The sequence below is a fragment of the Homo sapiens genome, chromosome 7, assembly GCF_000001405.40.
Source record: "Homo sapiens chromosome 7, GRCh38.p14 Primary Assembly".
In the NCBI taxonomy this organism is placed as follows: Eukaryota; Metazoa; Chordata; class Mammalia; order Primates; family Hominidae; genus Homo; species Homo sapiens.
The window spans coordinates 2,242,211-2,257,809 of NC_000007.14; the positions used below are offsets into that span (position 1 = coordinate 2,242,211).

The 15,599-nt window shown below is 59.2% G+C and overlaps 2 protein-coding genes and 1 non-coding gene across 17 annotated transcripts in view, besides 3 other annotated features; 1 reads left to right on the forward strand and 2 right to left on the reverse strand.

The window, feature by feature from the left end:
* On the forward strand, window positions 16-8,935 carry NUDT1 (nudix hydrolase 1). Of its 11 annotated transcripts, NM_001367554.1 has the most exons (6): window positions 16-79; window positions 715-765; window positions 2,353-2,516; window positions 7,647-7,792; window positions 8,432-8,525; window positions 8,619-8,935. In NM_001367554.1, exons 3-5 carry the CDS (start codon window positions 2,365-2,367, stop codon window positions 8,485-8,487), a joined length of 354 nt encoding a protein of 117 aa, NP_001354483.1. In that variant the 5' UTR covers window positions 16-79; window positions 715-765; window positions 2,353-2,364; the 3' UTR covers window positions 8,488-8,525; window positions 8,619-8,935. The 11 variants fall into 11 exon arrangements, 10 of the variants coding, with proteins under 10 accessions (NP_001354483.1, NP_945190.1, NP_945188.1 ...); NM_198952.2 differs by lacking the exon at window positions 8,432-8,525 and having other exon boundaries at window positions 16-82; window positions 715-838; NM_198950.2 differs by lacking the exon at window positions 8,432-8,525 and having other exon boundaries at window positions 16-82.
* Window positions 3,746-3,795: an enhancer, noted in NCBI's record as "active region_25513". NCBI's record gives its function as "activates an Ori minimal core promoter by ATAC-STARR-seq in GM12878 lymphoblastoid cells {active_cell/tissue: GM12878}" and the evidence as "EXISTENCE:reporter gene assay evidence [ECO:0000049][PMID:35858748]".
* Window positions 7,052-7,131: an enhancer, noted in NCBI's record as "active region_25514". NCBI's record gives its function as "activates an Ori minimal core promoter by ATAC-STARR-seq in GM12878 lymphoblastoid cells {active_cell/tissue: GM12878}" and the evidence as "EXISTENCE:reporter gene assay evidence [ECO:0000049][PMID:35858748]".
* A 624-nt stretch (window positions 8,936-9,559) lies between the features above and the next one.
* Window positions 9,560-15,599, reverse strand: part of SNX8 (sorting nexin 8) — a 102,728-nt gene continuing 96,688 nt past the window's right edge. For all 5 annotated transcript variants that reach the window (XM_017012084.3, NM_013321.4, XM_011515329.3 and 2 more), the window contains exons 8-11: window positions 15,525-15,593; window positions 15,155-15,304; window positions 14,664-14,813; window positions 9,560-12,959 (exon numbers count right to left, since the gene is read on the reverse strand). In XM_017012084.3, coding sequence (XP_016867573.1) covers window positions 12,846-12,959; window positions 14,664-14,813; window positions 15,155-15,304; window positions 15,525-15,593 — 483 coding nt within the window. In that variant the 3' untranslated portion in view covers window positions 9,560-12,845. The remainder of the gene's footprint in view (window positions 12,960-14,663; window positions 14,814-15,154; window positions 15,305-15,524; window positions 15,594-15,599) is intronic.
* Window positions 9,955-10,304: an enhancer, noted in NCBI's record as "active region_25515". NCBI's record gives its function as "activates an Ori minimal core promoter by ATAC-STARR-seq in GM12878 lymphoblastoid cells {active_cell/tissue: GM12878}" and the evidence as "EXISTENCE:reporter gene assay evidence [ECO:0000049][PMID:35858748]".
* MIR6836 (microRNA 6836) lies at window positions 15,305-15,367 on the reverse strand. The gene has a single exon (NR_106895.1). It is a non-coding gene; the product is annotated as a microRNA 6836 (primary transcript).

Genomic DNA, 15,599 nt, shown 5'->3' on the forward strand with positions numbered 1-15,599 from the left:
GCCTCACTTCCGGTCAGAGGCCACGCCCCCGGAAGCGGCGGTGCAGGTACGAAAAGCGCGCGCGGGGATTCCAGGAGTCGTGGTGACCAGGGAGGGGAGCCGGGCCAGCGGGCGGCAGGAGACTAGGGGAGCTGAGCCATGGGCTTGGGGGAGAGCGGGGCCGGGAGCTCGAAGGAGACCAGAAGAGCAGGGTCGGGGGCTCGAGGGAGACGAGGAGAGCGGGGCCGGGGGTTTGGGAGAGAGACAAGGAGAGCGGGGCGGAGGCTTGGGGGAGACCAGGAGTAAATCACAAAAATTTACTTTGGAAACCGTGGCTTCTGGCAGAAACAGATCAGTGTCGGGACAAAGTACACGGGCCTGGTGTGAAACTAAGCCACAAACCCATTTACCCTGTCTGACCTGCCTCCGCCACCAGGACCCAGTCTCAGTGAAATGGGAAAGGTTCCCTTGTCCTCCTCGAAGGGCGTGCGATGAGGATGTGGCTCACTTCTTCAGTGCCCCGCTTCTCAAGCCTCTAGGGGAACATACAGACAGGCAGGCTGAGGGGCTCCCACCCCACGGCAGTGTCTAGGGGTGAATGTTTGCAGCTCCTGAAGCCCCAGCAGGCATGTGTTAGAGGGTGCTCTTTCAGTTTAGCCTTGTAGGTGGCTTGTGTTAGTCAGCTGTTAGACTCCCTGCCTTATCGCAAGGACAGAGGGCTTTCTGTATCCCTAGGTTTCTTGCCTTGATGTACTGGAGCAATCAGATCACACGGCGGCTTGGAGAGTGAGTGCAAGGTTTTATGAGTGGAATTAGCCCTCAGCAGATGGGGGAGCCAGAAGGCAGTTGGAGTGGGAAGGTGATTTTCCCCTGGAGTCGGGCTGCTGAGCAGCCTGGGCTCTCCTCTGACCGCCCCTGCCAAACTCATGGTTCCATCAGTTGATGGCCTGCTGGTGCCTGTTGGTGTGCTTTCCACGTCCTCTTGACGTCCAGCGGCTTGTGTCTCTGCCCACTATAAAAAACCACTGGGGTTTTTTTATAGGCACAGGACGGGGACGTGGCGGGCTCGGGAAATGCAACATTTGGGCAAAAAAACAGAAATGCCTGTCCTCACCCAGGTCCCTGGGCACAGGCCTGGGTGTGGAGCCCTGGCCAGAGACCACGCCCTCCTCTACCCAGCACTTCCCTGCCCCCTTCCTTATCATCTGGTCCCTTTTCTCAGACACCACAACTTCCAAGAAGGATCACTGGTCCTGAACCCTGTGTCTTGTCCAGGTGTGGACCCCAGAAAAGTTGGTCCTGGCTGGGCGCAGTGGCTCACGCCTGTAATCTCAGCACTTTGGGAGGCTGAGGTGGGTGGATCGCTTGAGCTCAGGAGTTCGTGACCAGCCTGGGCAACGTGACAAAACCCCATCTCTACTAAAAATACAGAAATTAGCTGGGTGTGGCGGCTCATGCCTGTGGTCCCAGCTATGTGGGATGCTGAGGCAGGAGGATGGCTTCAGCCAGGGAGGCGGAGGTTACAGTGAACCGCGATCACGCCACTCTCCTCCAGCCTGGGCAACAGAGCAGGATCTTGTCTCAAAATAAATAAAGGAAAGTTGGTCCTGGCCCTCCAGCATTTCTCCAGGGTCCTTTTTTCAGCAGGGACCTGGCGGAGGCATCGCCCTCAGAGTCCTCTGGACCTGGACCTGCACACCTATGGGAGCAGGAAGGACCCTTGTGACTTCCAGTGGCCCCCCTGGGTGCCAGGTCCCACAGTAGCCACAGCAGGAGCAGAGTGGGTGGGGTATAAACTCCTATCACAGGAGGGAGGACTAGCCGGGCCTGGCTGGGTGGACCTGTGTCTACAGCCACACATTTCCTGGGAATCTGGAAGCCTGCTACAGAGAGGCCAGGTCCCACTAGACTGAAAGAAGTTCCTGTTAATCCAAAGGCCTGACCTGAGGACCACAGGATAAACTGCGTGGTTATTTTGGTGCCAATCAGGCACGGGGACTGTTGTTCCTCACTGTGTGCCTATAAGCAGGGGGTTCCTGGGGGTAGACGCAGGAGCAAGAGCACGCTCTGGAAAGGTGATGTTGTCCTCTGCACCTGAGTACTGACTTGTGGAGAAGGAAGGTAGCGCCGGCCTCTGCTCTGCTTGATCAGCCCTGCTGACCACTGGGTTCTGTTTCTACCCCAGAAAATCACTGGTTCAATGGCAGTTTTCCACCTGCCACAAGGGAAGCCACACGTGGCAGGGCTGGGGAGTTACAGCATACCCCCCCGCCCCCCACTGCCTCCCAGAGCACGTCCCCTTCCTCCTGGCCCCTGGCACGTGCTTCCTCCACGCACGTCATGGCTGACTCTGCCCTCTCACCTTCCTTTCAGAACCCAGGGACCATGGGCGCCTCCAGGCTCTATACCCTGGTGCTGGTCCTGCAGCCTCAGCGAGTTCTCCTGGGCATGAAAAAGCGAGGCTTCGGGGCCGGCCGGTGGAATGGCTTTGGGGGCAAAGTGCAAGAAGGAGAGACCATCGAGGATGGGGCTAGGAGGTAAGGATGGGGCAGGTCTGGCCATAGAACCGGCTTTCCCAGGGCACAGGGATTCGGGCTGTAGGGCCACACCCTTGGTTTCACCACTAAGAGCTAAGTGACCTGGAGCAGGGGGTTAAGCGTGAGCCTCAGTGTCTTCATCTCAGAATGAAGAACAGTCCGCAGCCCTTCGGACTCTTGTGAAGATAAAATGAGGAAATGAACTCGAAGGACTTAGAACGGTGCGCGGTGTGCGGTGCGTGCTGAGTGCGTGTTAGCTGTTGTGGTGCGGTGGTGCTGGGGGCTGCAGGGCGTATCTGGAAGCCTCTGTGCAGCAGCTTGAATTGAACCCTCCCAGCACCCTCACTGTTGCCGAAGGGCTCGTCAGTCACTTGGTTCCTCTGTCTGTTCAGTGGAGCTGATGATCGCTTTCATCTCACACTCGCTGTGCACAAAGCCTCACTGCATCCTCAACACAGCCAGCTTCACCTAGGAAGGAACTGAAGCCCAGAGAGGTTGAGCCGTTTACCCAAGATCACACAGTCCTCCAGACGCCCCTCAACCCTCACAGGGTAAATGAGATCATCTGTGTAAACATCGCTGCACAGACGTTAGCCCCCGTTCGTGTTTTTGTTCTGAGAAAGGTAGGCCAGCTTGCCTGGAGAGGAGAACTACAGAGTAAAGAGGGTCCTGGCACGGAGGAAAGCCAGGACGCTGCAGCCTAGTGGCTTTCCAATTTTTTCATCACAACCTGCAGTAAGAAATACGTTTTGTACTCTGATAGAGTGTACACACTCAGGTGTGCAGGTACAGCTAAAGTAAGTTGCAGTAGCCGCCCTTATTACATAAAAGGGGGCTCTACTTTTCCGATTCATTTCTCTTTTTTTCTCCAGAGGTGGGATCTCACCCATGGCACACTCTTGGCTCACTGCAGCCTCAAACTCTTGGGCTCAAACGATCCTCCTGCCTCAGCCTCACGAACAGCTGGGACCACAGGCACATGCCACCACGCTCAGTTCGTTTTTTAATTCTTTGTAGAGATGGTGTCTCATTAACTCCCAGGCTCAAGCGATCCTCCCTCCCGGGCCTCCCAGAGTGCTGAGATTGCAGGTGTGGGCCACTGGCTTGACCCTTTTTTTTTTTTCAATTGCAATCCACTAAGCCGATTTCCCGGGGTACATGGGTCCCAACCCTCAGTTTGGAGAGCCCTGTGTGTGCTTCCCCTCCAAGGCTTGGGACCCCAGACCGCAGCCACACGGACACGTTCGATCAGTCACTGTGGCAGGTGCCAGTGCGACAGGCTCTGTGCTGGGGGCCGCAGCTGGGGAGGAGGACCACTGGGTGTGAGTCGGGCATACAGCGTGTCCCTGCCAGGAGTGTGTGCAGAGCGACCACAGCACAGGAAACAGGAAAGGTGGCCCCGGGGGTTCTCTGCCCAGCCCTTTGTCTTTGATCTGCTAAGACTGCCCATCAGCTCATGGATTTCTGTAGCGCTGCTCTGTGTGGGGCCTGGGGACATGAGGAGGAACAGGTCAGTCCCTGCCTCTGTGGAGCTCTCGTGTCATCTGGCTGCCGGGTTCAGGAGACCTGCAGAAGGAGGTCTGGTCCATACCTCGTGGCCAGGGGCCTCCAGGAGAAAGGAAGGGAGAATAACTGGGCACCAGGAAAATGCTCTGAGGGCCTGACGTTGGCTGGGAGAGTGTGGAAGGAGGGAGGAAGGAGACATTTGCAGAAGCACAGAGGGCTGGAGGAGCGCCAGCTGTGCAGAGAAGTGGTGGGTGTGAGTGGAGCAGGCAGCGGTGCTGAGGAGGCTGGATGGAGGAACTCCAGGTGGCTGGATTTCCGCTTCTCGTCCTGCTGGTGACAAGCAAAGCACAGGCCCCCTCGGCAGCCCTGCTTTATTTTCTTCTGAACTTTGTCACGGTCGAAGGAACTTTCCTCCTACCCTCTGTAAATATTACACAAACAGAGGGACCATCACTCCAGACCCTCAAAGCTGAATACAGTGGTGGCTTGCTGTCAGACCAGGGTTTGAGGGGGGGAACTGAGGCACAGAGCCGGAAGCCTGTGACTTCCATCCTCGGGTGTAACCTGGAGACGGGGGTTTCACCATGTTGGCCAGGCTGGTCTTGAACACCTGACCTCACGGGATCCACCCGCCTCGGCTTCCCAAAGTGCTGTGATTACAGGCGTGAGCCACCGTGCCCAGCCGAGACCCTGTCTTAAAGAAAGAAAGAAAAAAATCCTTCGTTGGGGAGCATCTGCAAGCATGAGGAATGGGGGACACTGGAGCCAGACAGGCTGGTGCTTAGGGGTCCCAGGGCCCCGGGAACCCAGCAGCAAACAGCCTCGCCCTCAGGGGATGACGTACCATCAGCCACAGGCCACCAGCACGGCCCTGGGCTTCAGTACCTGCGAGTCTGAATGGATTTGCTCCTGGGGCAACCCCAGGCCCGTGCTGCTCAGGAGCGGGAGGCAGGGAGGAGCGTCGGCAGCCCGGTCTCTGGGGAGGCTGGTTCCTGCTTTATCCACGCAATACCCAGTCCTATTCTATCAGGAGGACCCCAAGATGGGCCCTAACTCCCAGGCCAAGAGCCGGTTTAGGCACCCTCCCCGCTTGCCTGCAGGGGGCAGGCCTGAGCGCCTAACCCCAGTCCAGAGGGCTGGACTCAGACCCTCCTCTGTGGGGCAGGGGACAGGCACGTAGGGAGTACTGAATTGTGGGGGTGTGCAGATTTGGGCTTCAGGCGCACAGTGTGAGCCGACCTTTCTAGACAGCATCCCTGGTCCCCAAAGACTAGCGAGGCCGGGGACACAGGAGCAGCGATGGGAAGCAGGCCCGCCGGAACCTCCGACTCCCACCTCCCCACGCCACGGACGCTGCACCACCCTGTGTTTTTGTTTCATGTATTTCTCACCCTGTTCCCCGTGTTCCGCCTGGGGAACCGAGTGCCATGGACAGAGCAGACACTTGGGCAGAACTGAACAGCGTCATCTTCGCCTGCCTGGCGCTCCCTGCCTGGGAAATGGAGCTTCAGCTCTGTCTCCCGGCGGATTCTTGATGCTTCCTACGCTGCCATGTGCTAGGGAAGATTAACTAAAATCAGTCACAATATCCCACTGGGAGGTGACGCTTTTTAAGACGAGCAACAGCCGGCCGCCAAGAGGCGGGTGAGGCCCCACTGAGCACTTCTATTGCATCTAACTGGGGAGCCATTTATACCCAAGTAGAAGCACACGTTCACTTTGTAGCTCAAGCCCAACTTTAATTAGCCATCTGTATGAATAAATGCTGATTCCAGGTCCGTTTCCTCTCCAGTCCCTGCAGTTTAAGCTGAGGAGGCATCGCTTAAATCAGACCATTTAGACCAGGCATGGTGGCTCACACCTGAAATCCCAGCACTTTGGGAGGCCAAAGCAGAAGGATCGCTTGAGCCCAGGAGTTCAGGACCAGCCTGGGCAACATAGCAAGACCCTGTCTCTACAGAAAAACACACACACAGAAAAATTAGCCGGGCATGGTAAGAGGAGGAGACTGAGGTGCCCAGCGGCTGCAGCCCGTGCATCCCCAGGGTCCCAGCACAGAGTGGGTGTTCAGAAGTGTCTGCTGAGGGACTGAGCAAGAACCCGACTGAGCACAGCAAGCAAACGCTCAGAACGGGAGGTCAGCAGCACCGCTGTGCCCAACACGGGTTTCCACCATAACCCGAAGTTGGAACGTTTTATTCTTCCATACCAAACAGGAGTTGAGAAGGCGGCTGGGTTCCTTGAGGTGTGGAATGTCATGCACTCCTCCTTTCTTGCGTGGAAAGCCCGAGGTATAAAGTGTGTATGATGTTTGCTTTTTTTTTTTTTTTTTTTTTTAAGACAGGGTCTAGCTCGGTTGCCCAGGCTGGAGTGCAGTGGAGTAATCCCAGCTCACTGCAGCCTCCAACTCCTGGGCTCAAGCATTCCTCCCATCTCAGTCTCCTGAGGAGCTGGGACTACAGGCGAGTGCCACCATGCCCAGCTAATTTCTGTCCTTTTTGTAGAAACAGGGTTTTGCCATATTGCCCAAGCTGGTCTCAAACTCCGGAGCTCAAGCAATCAATCCTCCCACCTTGGCCTCCAAAAATGCTGGGATTACAGGCATGAGCCACCCTGCACCCAACCTGTTTGCATTTTTATTTTTTAACTTTAAGCTATTAAGGGTTAATGTTTGCATTTCTTAAGGGAAAAACAGAGGAGAAAGAGCCAAAGGAAAAACACTGAAATGGTAGCATTCCTGGGTGATGAGTTTATGGCGTTTTGTTTCCTGGTTGTCTATAACAAATATGTAATTTTTAAATTAGCAACAGCGTTAGACTACTTCGGGGAAACCTGGCTCTGTGTGCCACGAAGCAGGGAAGGGCTTGTTCCCAGGCGCAGCAGCACTTGGGCATCCCGTGGTGAAGTCAGCCCCTTACACCTCCTCCAGGCACAGCTGTGGGGAGCATGTCCCGAGAAGGCGCAGGAAGAGGCCCAGGCCACGTGTCCCGTGTGGTCAGCCTGGGGACCAGAGTTAAAACCAGAGCTCCTCCTTCAGGAAACAGATCATAGAAGCCTGTGGTTTCATCCTGTGTTCTCAGAGAAGAGGCACCAGGCTGGAAAGACATTTCTTTGGGCAGACAGGCCCAGAGTATAGGGCCCAGGTTCCCAGAGCAAGCGTCCCAGGGCCCCGGCGGTCGTAACTACCGCTGCATGGGCTCTGATGCTCAGCCGCGGAAAAGCAAGTAACCGGGAATGAAGGAAGTGGGGTCAGTCCCAACCCTGCCACGTGCGGGTCTCGAGACGGTGGACAAGTGGCTGGACTCCACTGGGCCTGGGCTGTCACTGGTACACAGAGGGCACTGGGCTAGAACTGCGTTCCTCCCACCAGAGGCTCCACACCATCTCCGGGCCCCTCCCCAGAGCCTCTCAACCAAAATCAGTGTCTTCAAAGTTCAAGTTGATTCTGAAGCTCAGCCAGGTCGGGACCAGATAATGCATTCTAGGGGACATCCTCCTGGGTCTCCCATCCACCCTGGTGGCTCCCTGGGCTGTGTGTAGATGCCCAGCTCCTCCTCCCTGCCATCGTGTGGGCATGGCACCATGCCCTGACGGCCTCCCTCCCCTGCCCACCTCTGCCCGCAGGGAGCTGCAGGAGGAGAGCGGTCTGACAGTGGACGCCCTGCACAAGGTGGGCCAGATCGTGTTTGAGTTCGTGGGCGAGCCTGAGCTCATGGACGTGCATGTCTTCTGCACAGACAGCATCCAGGGGACCCCCGTGGAGAGCGACGGTGAGTCTCACAGGGCCTGCTCCCCCTCCCCACTATGCGGGTCCCATCTCCTGGCTGGGAGAAAGGCCATCCGCCCAAACCATCTCTGAGTGCCAGGGACCGGGCAGCCTGCGTCCCCCTCCACCCCACAGTGCCAGCGTGGGGCCCATGAGCCGTGGTCTCTGCACCGAGGCTCCAGTAGCGTACCTGCCCCTGCTCTGCGCCCACCCTAAAATGAGAAACACGGTAATGAGGATGAAATATAAACGATCGTCAGGTTCCTCACGATCACTCAGTGAACTCCTCAGAGAGTCAGTGTACGTTTGGGCTGGCCAGACGCAGTGGCTCACCCCTGTAATCCCAGCACTGTGGACTGTGGGAGGCCGAGGCAGGAGGATCGTTGAGCCCAGGAGTTCAAGACCAGTCTGGGCAACACAGTGAGACCCCATCTCTACAAAAAAACATGGTTTTGTTGTTGTTGCTGTTGTTGTTTTGAGACGAAGTCTCGCTCTGTCGCCCAGGCTGGAGGGCAATGGCGCAATCTCGGCTCACTGCAAGCTCCACCTCCCAGGTTCACACCATTCTCCTGCCTCAGCCTCCCAAGTAGCTGGGACTACAGGCGCCCGCCACCACGCCCGGCTAATTTTTTTGTATTTTTAGTAGAGACGGGGTTTCACCGTGTTAGCCAGGATGGTCTCGATCTCCTGACCTCGTGATCCTCCCGCCTCGGCCTCCCAAAGTGCTGGGATTACAGGCGTGAGCCACCGCGCCCGGCCAAAAAAAACATGTTTTTTAAGCATGAAGTTTGGGTTGCACCTCAGTGCCTCCTCTTCCCCCATTGGTACAGAAATGCGCCCATGCTGGTTCCAGCTGGATCAGATCCCCTTCAAGGACATGTGGCCCGACGACAGCTACTGGTTTCCACTCCTGCTTCAGAAGAAGAAATTCCACGGGTACTTCAAGTTCCAGGGTCAGGACACCATCCTGGACTACACACTCCGCGAGGTGGACACGGTCTAGCGGGAGCCCAGGGCAGCCCCTGGGCAGGAGACGTGGCTGCTGAACAGCCGCAAACCATCTTCACCTGGGGGCATTGAGTGGCGCAGAGCCGGGTTTCATCTGGAATTAACTGGATGGAAGGGAAAATAAAGCTATCTAGCGGTGGTTTTTTTTTTTTTTTTTTGGAGATGGAGTCTCTCTCTGTTGCCCAGGCTGGAGTGCAATGGCACGATCTCGGCTCACGTCAACCTCCGCCTCCCAGGTTCAAGCGATCCTCCCATCTCAGCCTCCCGAAGAGGTGGGATTACAGGCGCACATTGCCACACCCAACTAATATTTGTCTGTTTAGTAGAGATGGGGTTTCACCATGTTGACCAGGCTGGTCTTGAACTCCTGACCTCAGGTGATCCACCTGCCTCAGCCTCCCAAAGTGCTGGGATTCCAGGCGTGAGCCACTGCACCCGGCCGGTCTCTAACCTTTCAAACGTTCTTCTCCAGACACCAGCACAGCCTGCCAGGTCCCGTCCACAGGAAGCTACCAGATGTGCTGGGCTTCAGCCCGCACTGCTGCACAGAGGTGGGAGAGGATGGAGACTCTGTCCCCGAGGTGGGCAGCTGGCCCAGGGCAGAGACACACATGCTCAGTGCCACAAGCTGGGGATGTGTCCTCTTAAAACCCCCCTGCACAGTGTGGGAAGCTGAGGCTCGGCCAAGGGCTCTGGGCTAAAACCCAGGTTGAACGCCTCATAGGCTAGTCCCCTCCCCTGCCCAACTTTCATACACGTTTAATAACAGTTGTTCACACATGTTTATTGATAAACCGTCCAAAATGTAGGTCATGTGTAAACAATTCCAGTTGTTGGGTATATTGGGTATTGATCCCTGCAGCCTCCTAAAGTGCTTTGGACATGAACTGACCCGCAAAGCAAGGGCAAAGGCCTCAGATGCACAGAGCTGCCCTGACATCCCTTGGCTCGGAGTCCCTGTGCCCCATGTCAGAGCCCTAAACCTGTCTCCCCTGCCTGCACTGTGTCCGGCAGACAAAGGGCAGCTGTCTGCACGGTGACCCCGAGTACCCAGGACACGGACCACGAGGACCCAATGAAAATGTCCCCTTTCACCATGATCGGCAGCCCCCTTCCCACAGCCCCGCCAGCCCACAACCCCCCTCCCACGGCCCCGCCAGCCGTCCTCACAGGGCAGGCGGCATCTGGCATCTCCACCAGCATCACACGCAGCTGTCCCTGCCAGCTAGGCAAGGCCGTAATGACCGGCACAAGCTTGGGCTTGGGCCGTGGGCAGCAGGAGGGCTGGAGAGGCATGGGGGGAACCCCGCTCTCCCTCCGGCATGGGGCCTCCACCTGCAGCAGTAAGCAGCCTCTCAGCCCCTGAGCCTGGGGACCTGCCCGGGCAGCACAGGGCCAGGGCCAAGAAGTATTTGTGAGAAGGAAGGTGGCCTCCGCCACCCCTGCCTAGCAGGCCTCTTTCTGCTGCCCTTTAGAAGGCACTGGGTGGCAGAGGAGGAAGGGGAGGGAGGTGTTCCAAAGCCAGTGCCCACCCCTCCACAGAGCCAACCCCAGGGCACACAGGAAGCAGCCACCACACGTGGGAGACAGGCTGCCCTCGTCACCGCTGCCCTCCAGCCCCCCCTTCACCCTGCCCTCCTGACCCTCCCACCCCTGCCTTCCTGCCCCCCCACCTCCCTCCTGCCTTCCCACCCCTGCCCTCTTGCTCTCCTCACCCCTGCCCTCTTGCTCTCTCCTCACCCCTGCCCTCCTGCTCCCCCTCACCCCTGCCCTCCCTTACCCGTTCTCCTGCTCCCTCCTCACCCCTGCCCTCCTATTCCCCATCACCCCTACTCTCCTGCTCTCCTCACCCCTGCTCTCCTGCTCTCTCACCCCTGCCCCCTTGCTCTCTCACCCCTGCCCTCCTGTCCCAACGCCTGCCCTCCTGCTCCCCCTCATCCCTCTTCTGCTCCCCCTCACCCCTGCCCTCCCTTACCCCTGTTCTCCTGTTCTCCTGACCCCTGCCCTCCTGCTCCCCCAACTCCTGCCCTCCTGCTCCCTCCTCACCCCTGCCCTCCAGCCTTCCACCTCCATCCTCAGCCTCTGGACATGAGGACCCTGAGACCCTGCTCTTGAAGTTTCCAACACAGGGAGATGCCGCCAGGTATGTGGCCTCTCATACACTCACTGACCCCGGAGTCCCTGCCAGGAAAGCTCCTTCAGAAAAGCTCATTCTGAAGTCTTGCTCAATCCTTGGGGGCTGTCAGGAGCGCGTGCCTTGCCTACTCTGGAGACACAGAGGCCCCAGCACCTGATGCCCTCCACGACTCCCCACAGCCTCTATGGTCCTGCAGCTGGACAGGCCCCAGGAAGGTGCGGGGTGGACGGAGAGGCCTTGCAGCCTTCTGCCCACACGGGGTCACGCTTCATGGCTCGGGTGTCATGGTGCCATTCATGGCAACTGAGAACCTGTCTCTGCAGAGGGGCGTCAGAAGGCAGCGCAGCCCAAGACTCGGGTGGACTAGGGACTCACGGGACAGCCCACCCATCGGGCTCCAAAGGGAACGCTGCCCTCTGCTCATCTGGCCAGAAGGAAGCAGCCCACCTCACAGCAGGAAGGCAGCAGCAGAACCCACAGGGCAGGGCAGGCTGGGCCCGAGCCCCACAGCCACCGAGTCAGCACAGCCCACGGGGCCAGAAGGCACGGCCGTTCCCTCTGGCCGGCTCGCAGTGGACGATGGATCACCTGCCTGCGGGGCACACACAGGAGTCCCCTCTCCATCCCACGGCCGTGAGCTGCCCGTAGGTACAGGCGGAAGGGAAGCACCCTCCGTGAGAGGAGTGAACGCCCCAGAGGCCAGTGAGCATCTGCGGAGCGGAGGGACCTCGGAAACCCTGGAGCCCGGCGGGCCTCTTCCAGCACCCCTCCCCGGCCAGGGAGGGGCGTCAGGCTCCGGAGAAGTGCAGGGGTCCACTGGGCTCCCATGTACCTTCCACAAAAGGGGTTCGGGCAGAAGCAGACCCAGGCCTGAGGCGGACAGTCCAGCCCCACAGAGCTCAGGAGAATGGCCTTCTTCATCCAGAGCAGGGAAGGGGCCTGAAAGACCACTGGTTCCCTCTGTGAGCAGGTGGCTGGGCCGGCAAGTGCGTGACGGGAGGCTGGGAGGAGGGCTCTAGGTGCCTCAGAGAAGGAAATCCACTTAAAAGGGGGCTGTCCCTCCTCTAAAGCCTCAGCTGGAATGGAACACGCCCCCCCACGCCCCCACCTGTCCTCTGCCAGCCCATCCAGCCTCAGTGCCACACGGTGCAGACCCCAACACTGGCCACCAGAAATCAAGGGAGTCCAGGGGACGAGAACACAGCTGCTGTAGCGCCCACTCTCAGAGCCCCAGCTCTCCGTCACGCCTTTGTCTTCCAGGCCTGGGCACACACAGGGTCATGGTGTGGACACAGGCACACATGGGGTCATCATATGGGCACAGGGCATGAGGCCACTGGACCCCACAGGCCACTCCCAGACCAGGGCTCCAGGTGTTGACTGCAGCAATTTCCCTAGAAAATTCACCGTGCGTGCCCCACGCCCAATGGCCCTCCCTCCCAGCCTCAGCACCACTGGCTGTCCCCTCGCTGTCCGTGGTCAGTCCCATGCCTGGGCTGCAGGGCAGCCCTGCCCTCTCTCCTCGGCTGACCGAGCACCATGATGCTGCCCCTCCCGACTGTTCCAGCACCTGGAGGCCCTGCCTCCACGCTCCCCCAGGCACAATCTCTGTGAGATGAGAGATCCCTGCCTCCCCGCACAGCTCTGGGTGTCAGGAGGAAACCATTCCAGAGAACCCCACCACCTCTCTCGACCAGGCTAGCAGGCCACAGGGCGAAGGACAGTGTGGCCCAGCTGCCCCCATGGTCCACGGATGCGCCTCCCGACCCGCAGGCGTGAGCTCCTCTGCTCCAGCTGCAGCACGGGGCGTGGCGGGGAGGGGAGCTGCCGTCCAAAGGGAATTACACCGGGACACACCGTTTGGAAAGAGGTTTTAGTGCGGCCGCAGGGAGCACCACCTCAGCCTCAGGCGCTAGTGAGGACACAGGCCGTCCTCCGGCGGGGAGCACGGTGGGGTCAGGGTGCTGTGTGGTCCCGCAAAGAGGCAGCTGAGCTTGGGCCTCAGGTCGTTCCACACCTTGCTCATCTGAAAGGGAAGCGAAGAGAACAAGATCAGCAGGCGGGGCCGGGGCTCCTCCTCACGCTCTGATCCCAGTTCCTTCGCCTGCCAGTGACAGGGAGGGAGGGGCCCTCAGGTGCGCCAGCTCCTCAAACCTCTGGCAGAACCAGTGCTGCCCATCCTGCACAGAGGAAGCCCAAATGAGGAGTGGACCAGCGACATGTGACCTGTGGTCACAGACACCCACGCTTCGATCCCTGCACCCAGGACCAAAGGGCTGCAAATCTGCCTGCCGTGGAATCGTGAGAAACGTTACTATCGCGTCACTGCCAGTACATGCTCTAGCTGCCGTGCGGGCACTGGCCTCATGGAAGCCTTGGCAGGTCAAACACCAAGGCCAGCCTGGGCAACACACGGACACCCTGTCTCCACAGAAAATCAGAAATATGAGTCGGATGTGGTGGCACCTGCCTGTGGTCCCAGCTACTCGGGAGGTTGAGGCTGCAGTGAGCTGTGATTGCACCACTGCACTCCAGCTTGGGTGACAGAGCAAGACTCCACCTCAAAACCAAAAAGCAAACCAAAAACACAAAGACCACATCCACCAAATCAATAATACCCAAACCGGAATGCAAACGGCGGCCCCACTCGCCAAGCACTTTTGGAACCAGGGCAAGGAACGGATGCTGTGGATGTGAGGAGGGGAGCGCGGCAGTGAGGCAGGGGTCAGGCCAAGACCTGCCGTGCAGGGGCTCAGGTGGCCAGAGAAGGGCAGGGCGCACCCTGGGGGCCTGCAGGGGAGGCTGAGTCACTGGACCACAGCGCACACAGCATCACAGGGCTGGAAATTCCTCACCACCACAATAAAAAACCTGGTAGGACTGGGGTTATGGCATCATGCTCCGGGCGCCTGTTGGTCCCATTCCTTCACTGAGGACACACCCGGCCACTCACATGTCCAAGTCCAACCTGGTCCCTGAGACCCTGGCCATCTCACAGTGATGCTCCTAACACGGCGGCTGTCTACCGCCTCTCCAGCCCCACCACGGCCGCCTCCAGCCTGCCATTCCCAAAGTGCTGGACGGCACCCACGGCACCAAGCACCTCCCGGGGACAGTGTGGAATCTCGTGACCACCCCAGACACTCGGTGCCATTCCACACACACCACAGACCATGGCTTGAAAGCTACTTGCAGCTACTTAATAAACTTAATTTCAGCCGGGCACAAGGTGCTCGCCTGTAATCCCAGCGGTGCTGCAGTGAGCTGGCCACCAGAAATCAACGGAGGCCTGTCCCAGGACCTTGGGAGCGTTTCTTCTCCCAGGCTGAAGGAACCGCCATCTGCTCTGGAGGAAGCCGGCCAGGGCTCTCTGGAAGAACAGCCACCTGCGGCGCTCCGAAGCGCTAGAAACCTTCTCTCAGCCGCAGGGTGCGGGAGCTCTGCGGGCTTTACCTCCGACTTCTCAAATCCCTCCAGGAGGCAAACTCTCCCTGTCTGCTCCTCCCTCCGCCCCCCAGGAATCACAGGGACACCCTCACGATTCTGATTTTGGCTACACAGGAGACTAGAAGATCCGGGCGAGCACCGTGTTCCAAGGCCCATGCGGAGCCCAACTCCACTAAAGAACCTCTCTAGGGCGGCCGGCCACCGCGCTGCCGGGCTTGAAGGAAGGGCGGAGGGACAAAGAAAGGCCGTGGCCGAGACGGCGGCCGGAGCAGGGCGGACTCACCTCCTTGTGCCCTTGGATCTGAGAGTTGACGAAGGCGCGGAGGATGTGGGAGGTGAGGGGCAGGTAGACGTGGATGAGCTGCGTCTCCTGGTGCAGGCAGTACAGGGAGAAGTAGTTCCGCAGCTCCATCGTCTGAATCGCGTTCTCCTGCTGCGGAGCAAACAGCCGCCTTTCGCACCCGGCCCAGCCGGCGACGGGAGCACCAAGGCCCGAACACCAGCGTGCTCCCTGAGCCAGGGCGGCCCCTTCTCCTTCAGCCTTCACCAGGCATTTGGAAGGTGGCGAGGTAAGAGAGGGCCGGGGAGGGAGCACCGTGCAGGGAGCCGCATCGCTCTGGGCACGCGGGCCAGCTCCCTGCCTCCACTGCACCCCCAGCTCTGTTCCAGACACAAGGAGCCAACCCAGGGGAGCCCACCAGGACGGCTCCGGGTCCCACCATGGCCGGGAGGGGAAAGGCTCCCACGGGCCTGCTCGGCCGCCCCGCCACCCACCTCCACAATGCGGGACTCCAGCTGCTCCACGGACTCCGGCTCGCGGTTCTGCGCGGTGGCGCTCATCATCTGCCTCTTCATCAGGCTGTACTTGTGCAGGGCCCGCTGGTGCTTGTGCAACACGCCCTTCTCATGCCGCTCGCACAGGTCCTGCGGGGCCGGGGGAGGCATTCGCCCGCTGTCTGGATGCCTGCGCCAGGGCCCTGCGGAGCCGGCCGAGGGAAGCACCCCCGCCAGACGGAAGGCCCCGTCTTCCCCTGCAGCCCTGGCTTCTCAGCTCCTCTTCCGTCCCCCAGGAGTTAGACCCTTGAAGGATCCTAAGATCATTCCTGAAAGTTCTGCCCCCAGCCAAGGAGCAGCCAAGACTCACCTTATAGGACTGCAGCAGATCCAAGAAGAGGTTCAGCTTCTCCACCACGTCGTTCTCTTCCTGCTTACCCTGGAA

Coding starts and splice junctions, on each gene's coding strand:
- NUDT1 (NM_198952.2), top strand. CDS start 782: ATGAGTGGAATTAGCCCTCAGCAGATGGGGGAGCCAGAAGGCAGTTGG. Junction 2,517..7,646: donor ATCGAGGATGGGGCTAGGAG/GTAAGGATGGGG, acceptor CTCTGCCCGCAG/GGAGCTGCAGGAGGAGAGCG. Junction 7,793..8,618: donor GACCCCCGTGGAGAGCGACG/GTGAGTCTCACA, acceptor CCATTGGTACAG/AAATGCGCCCATGCTGGTTC.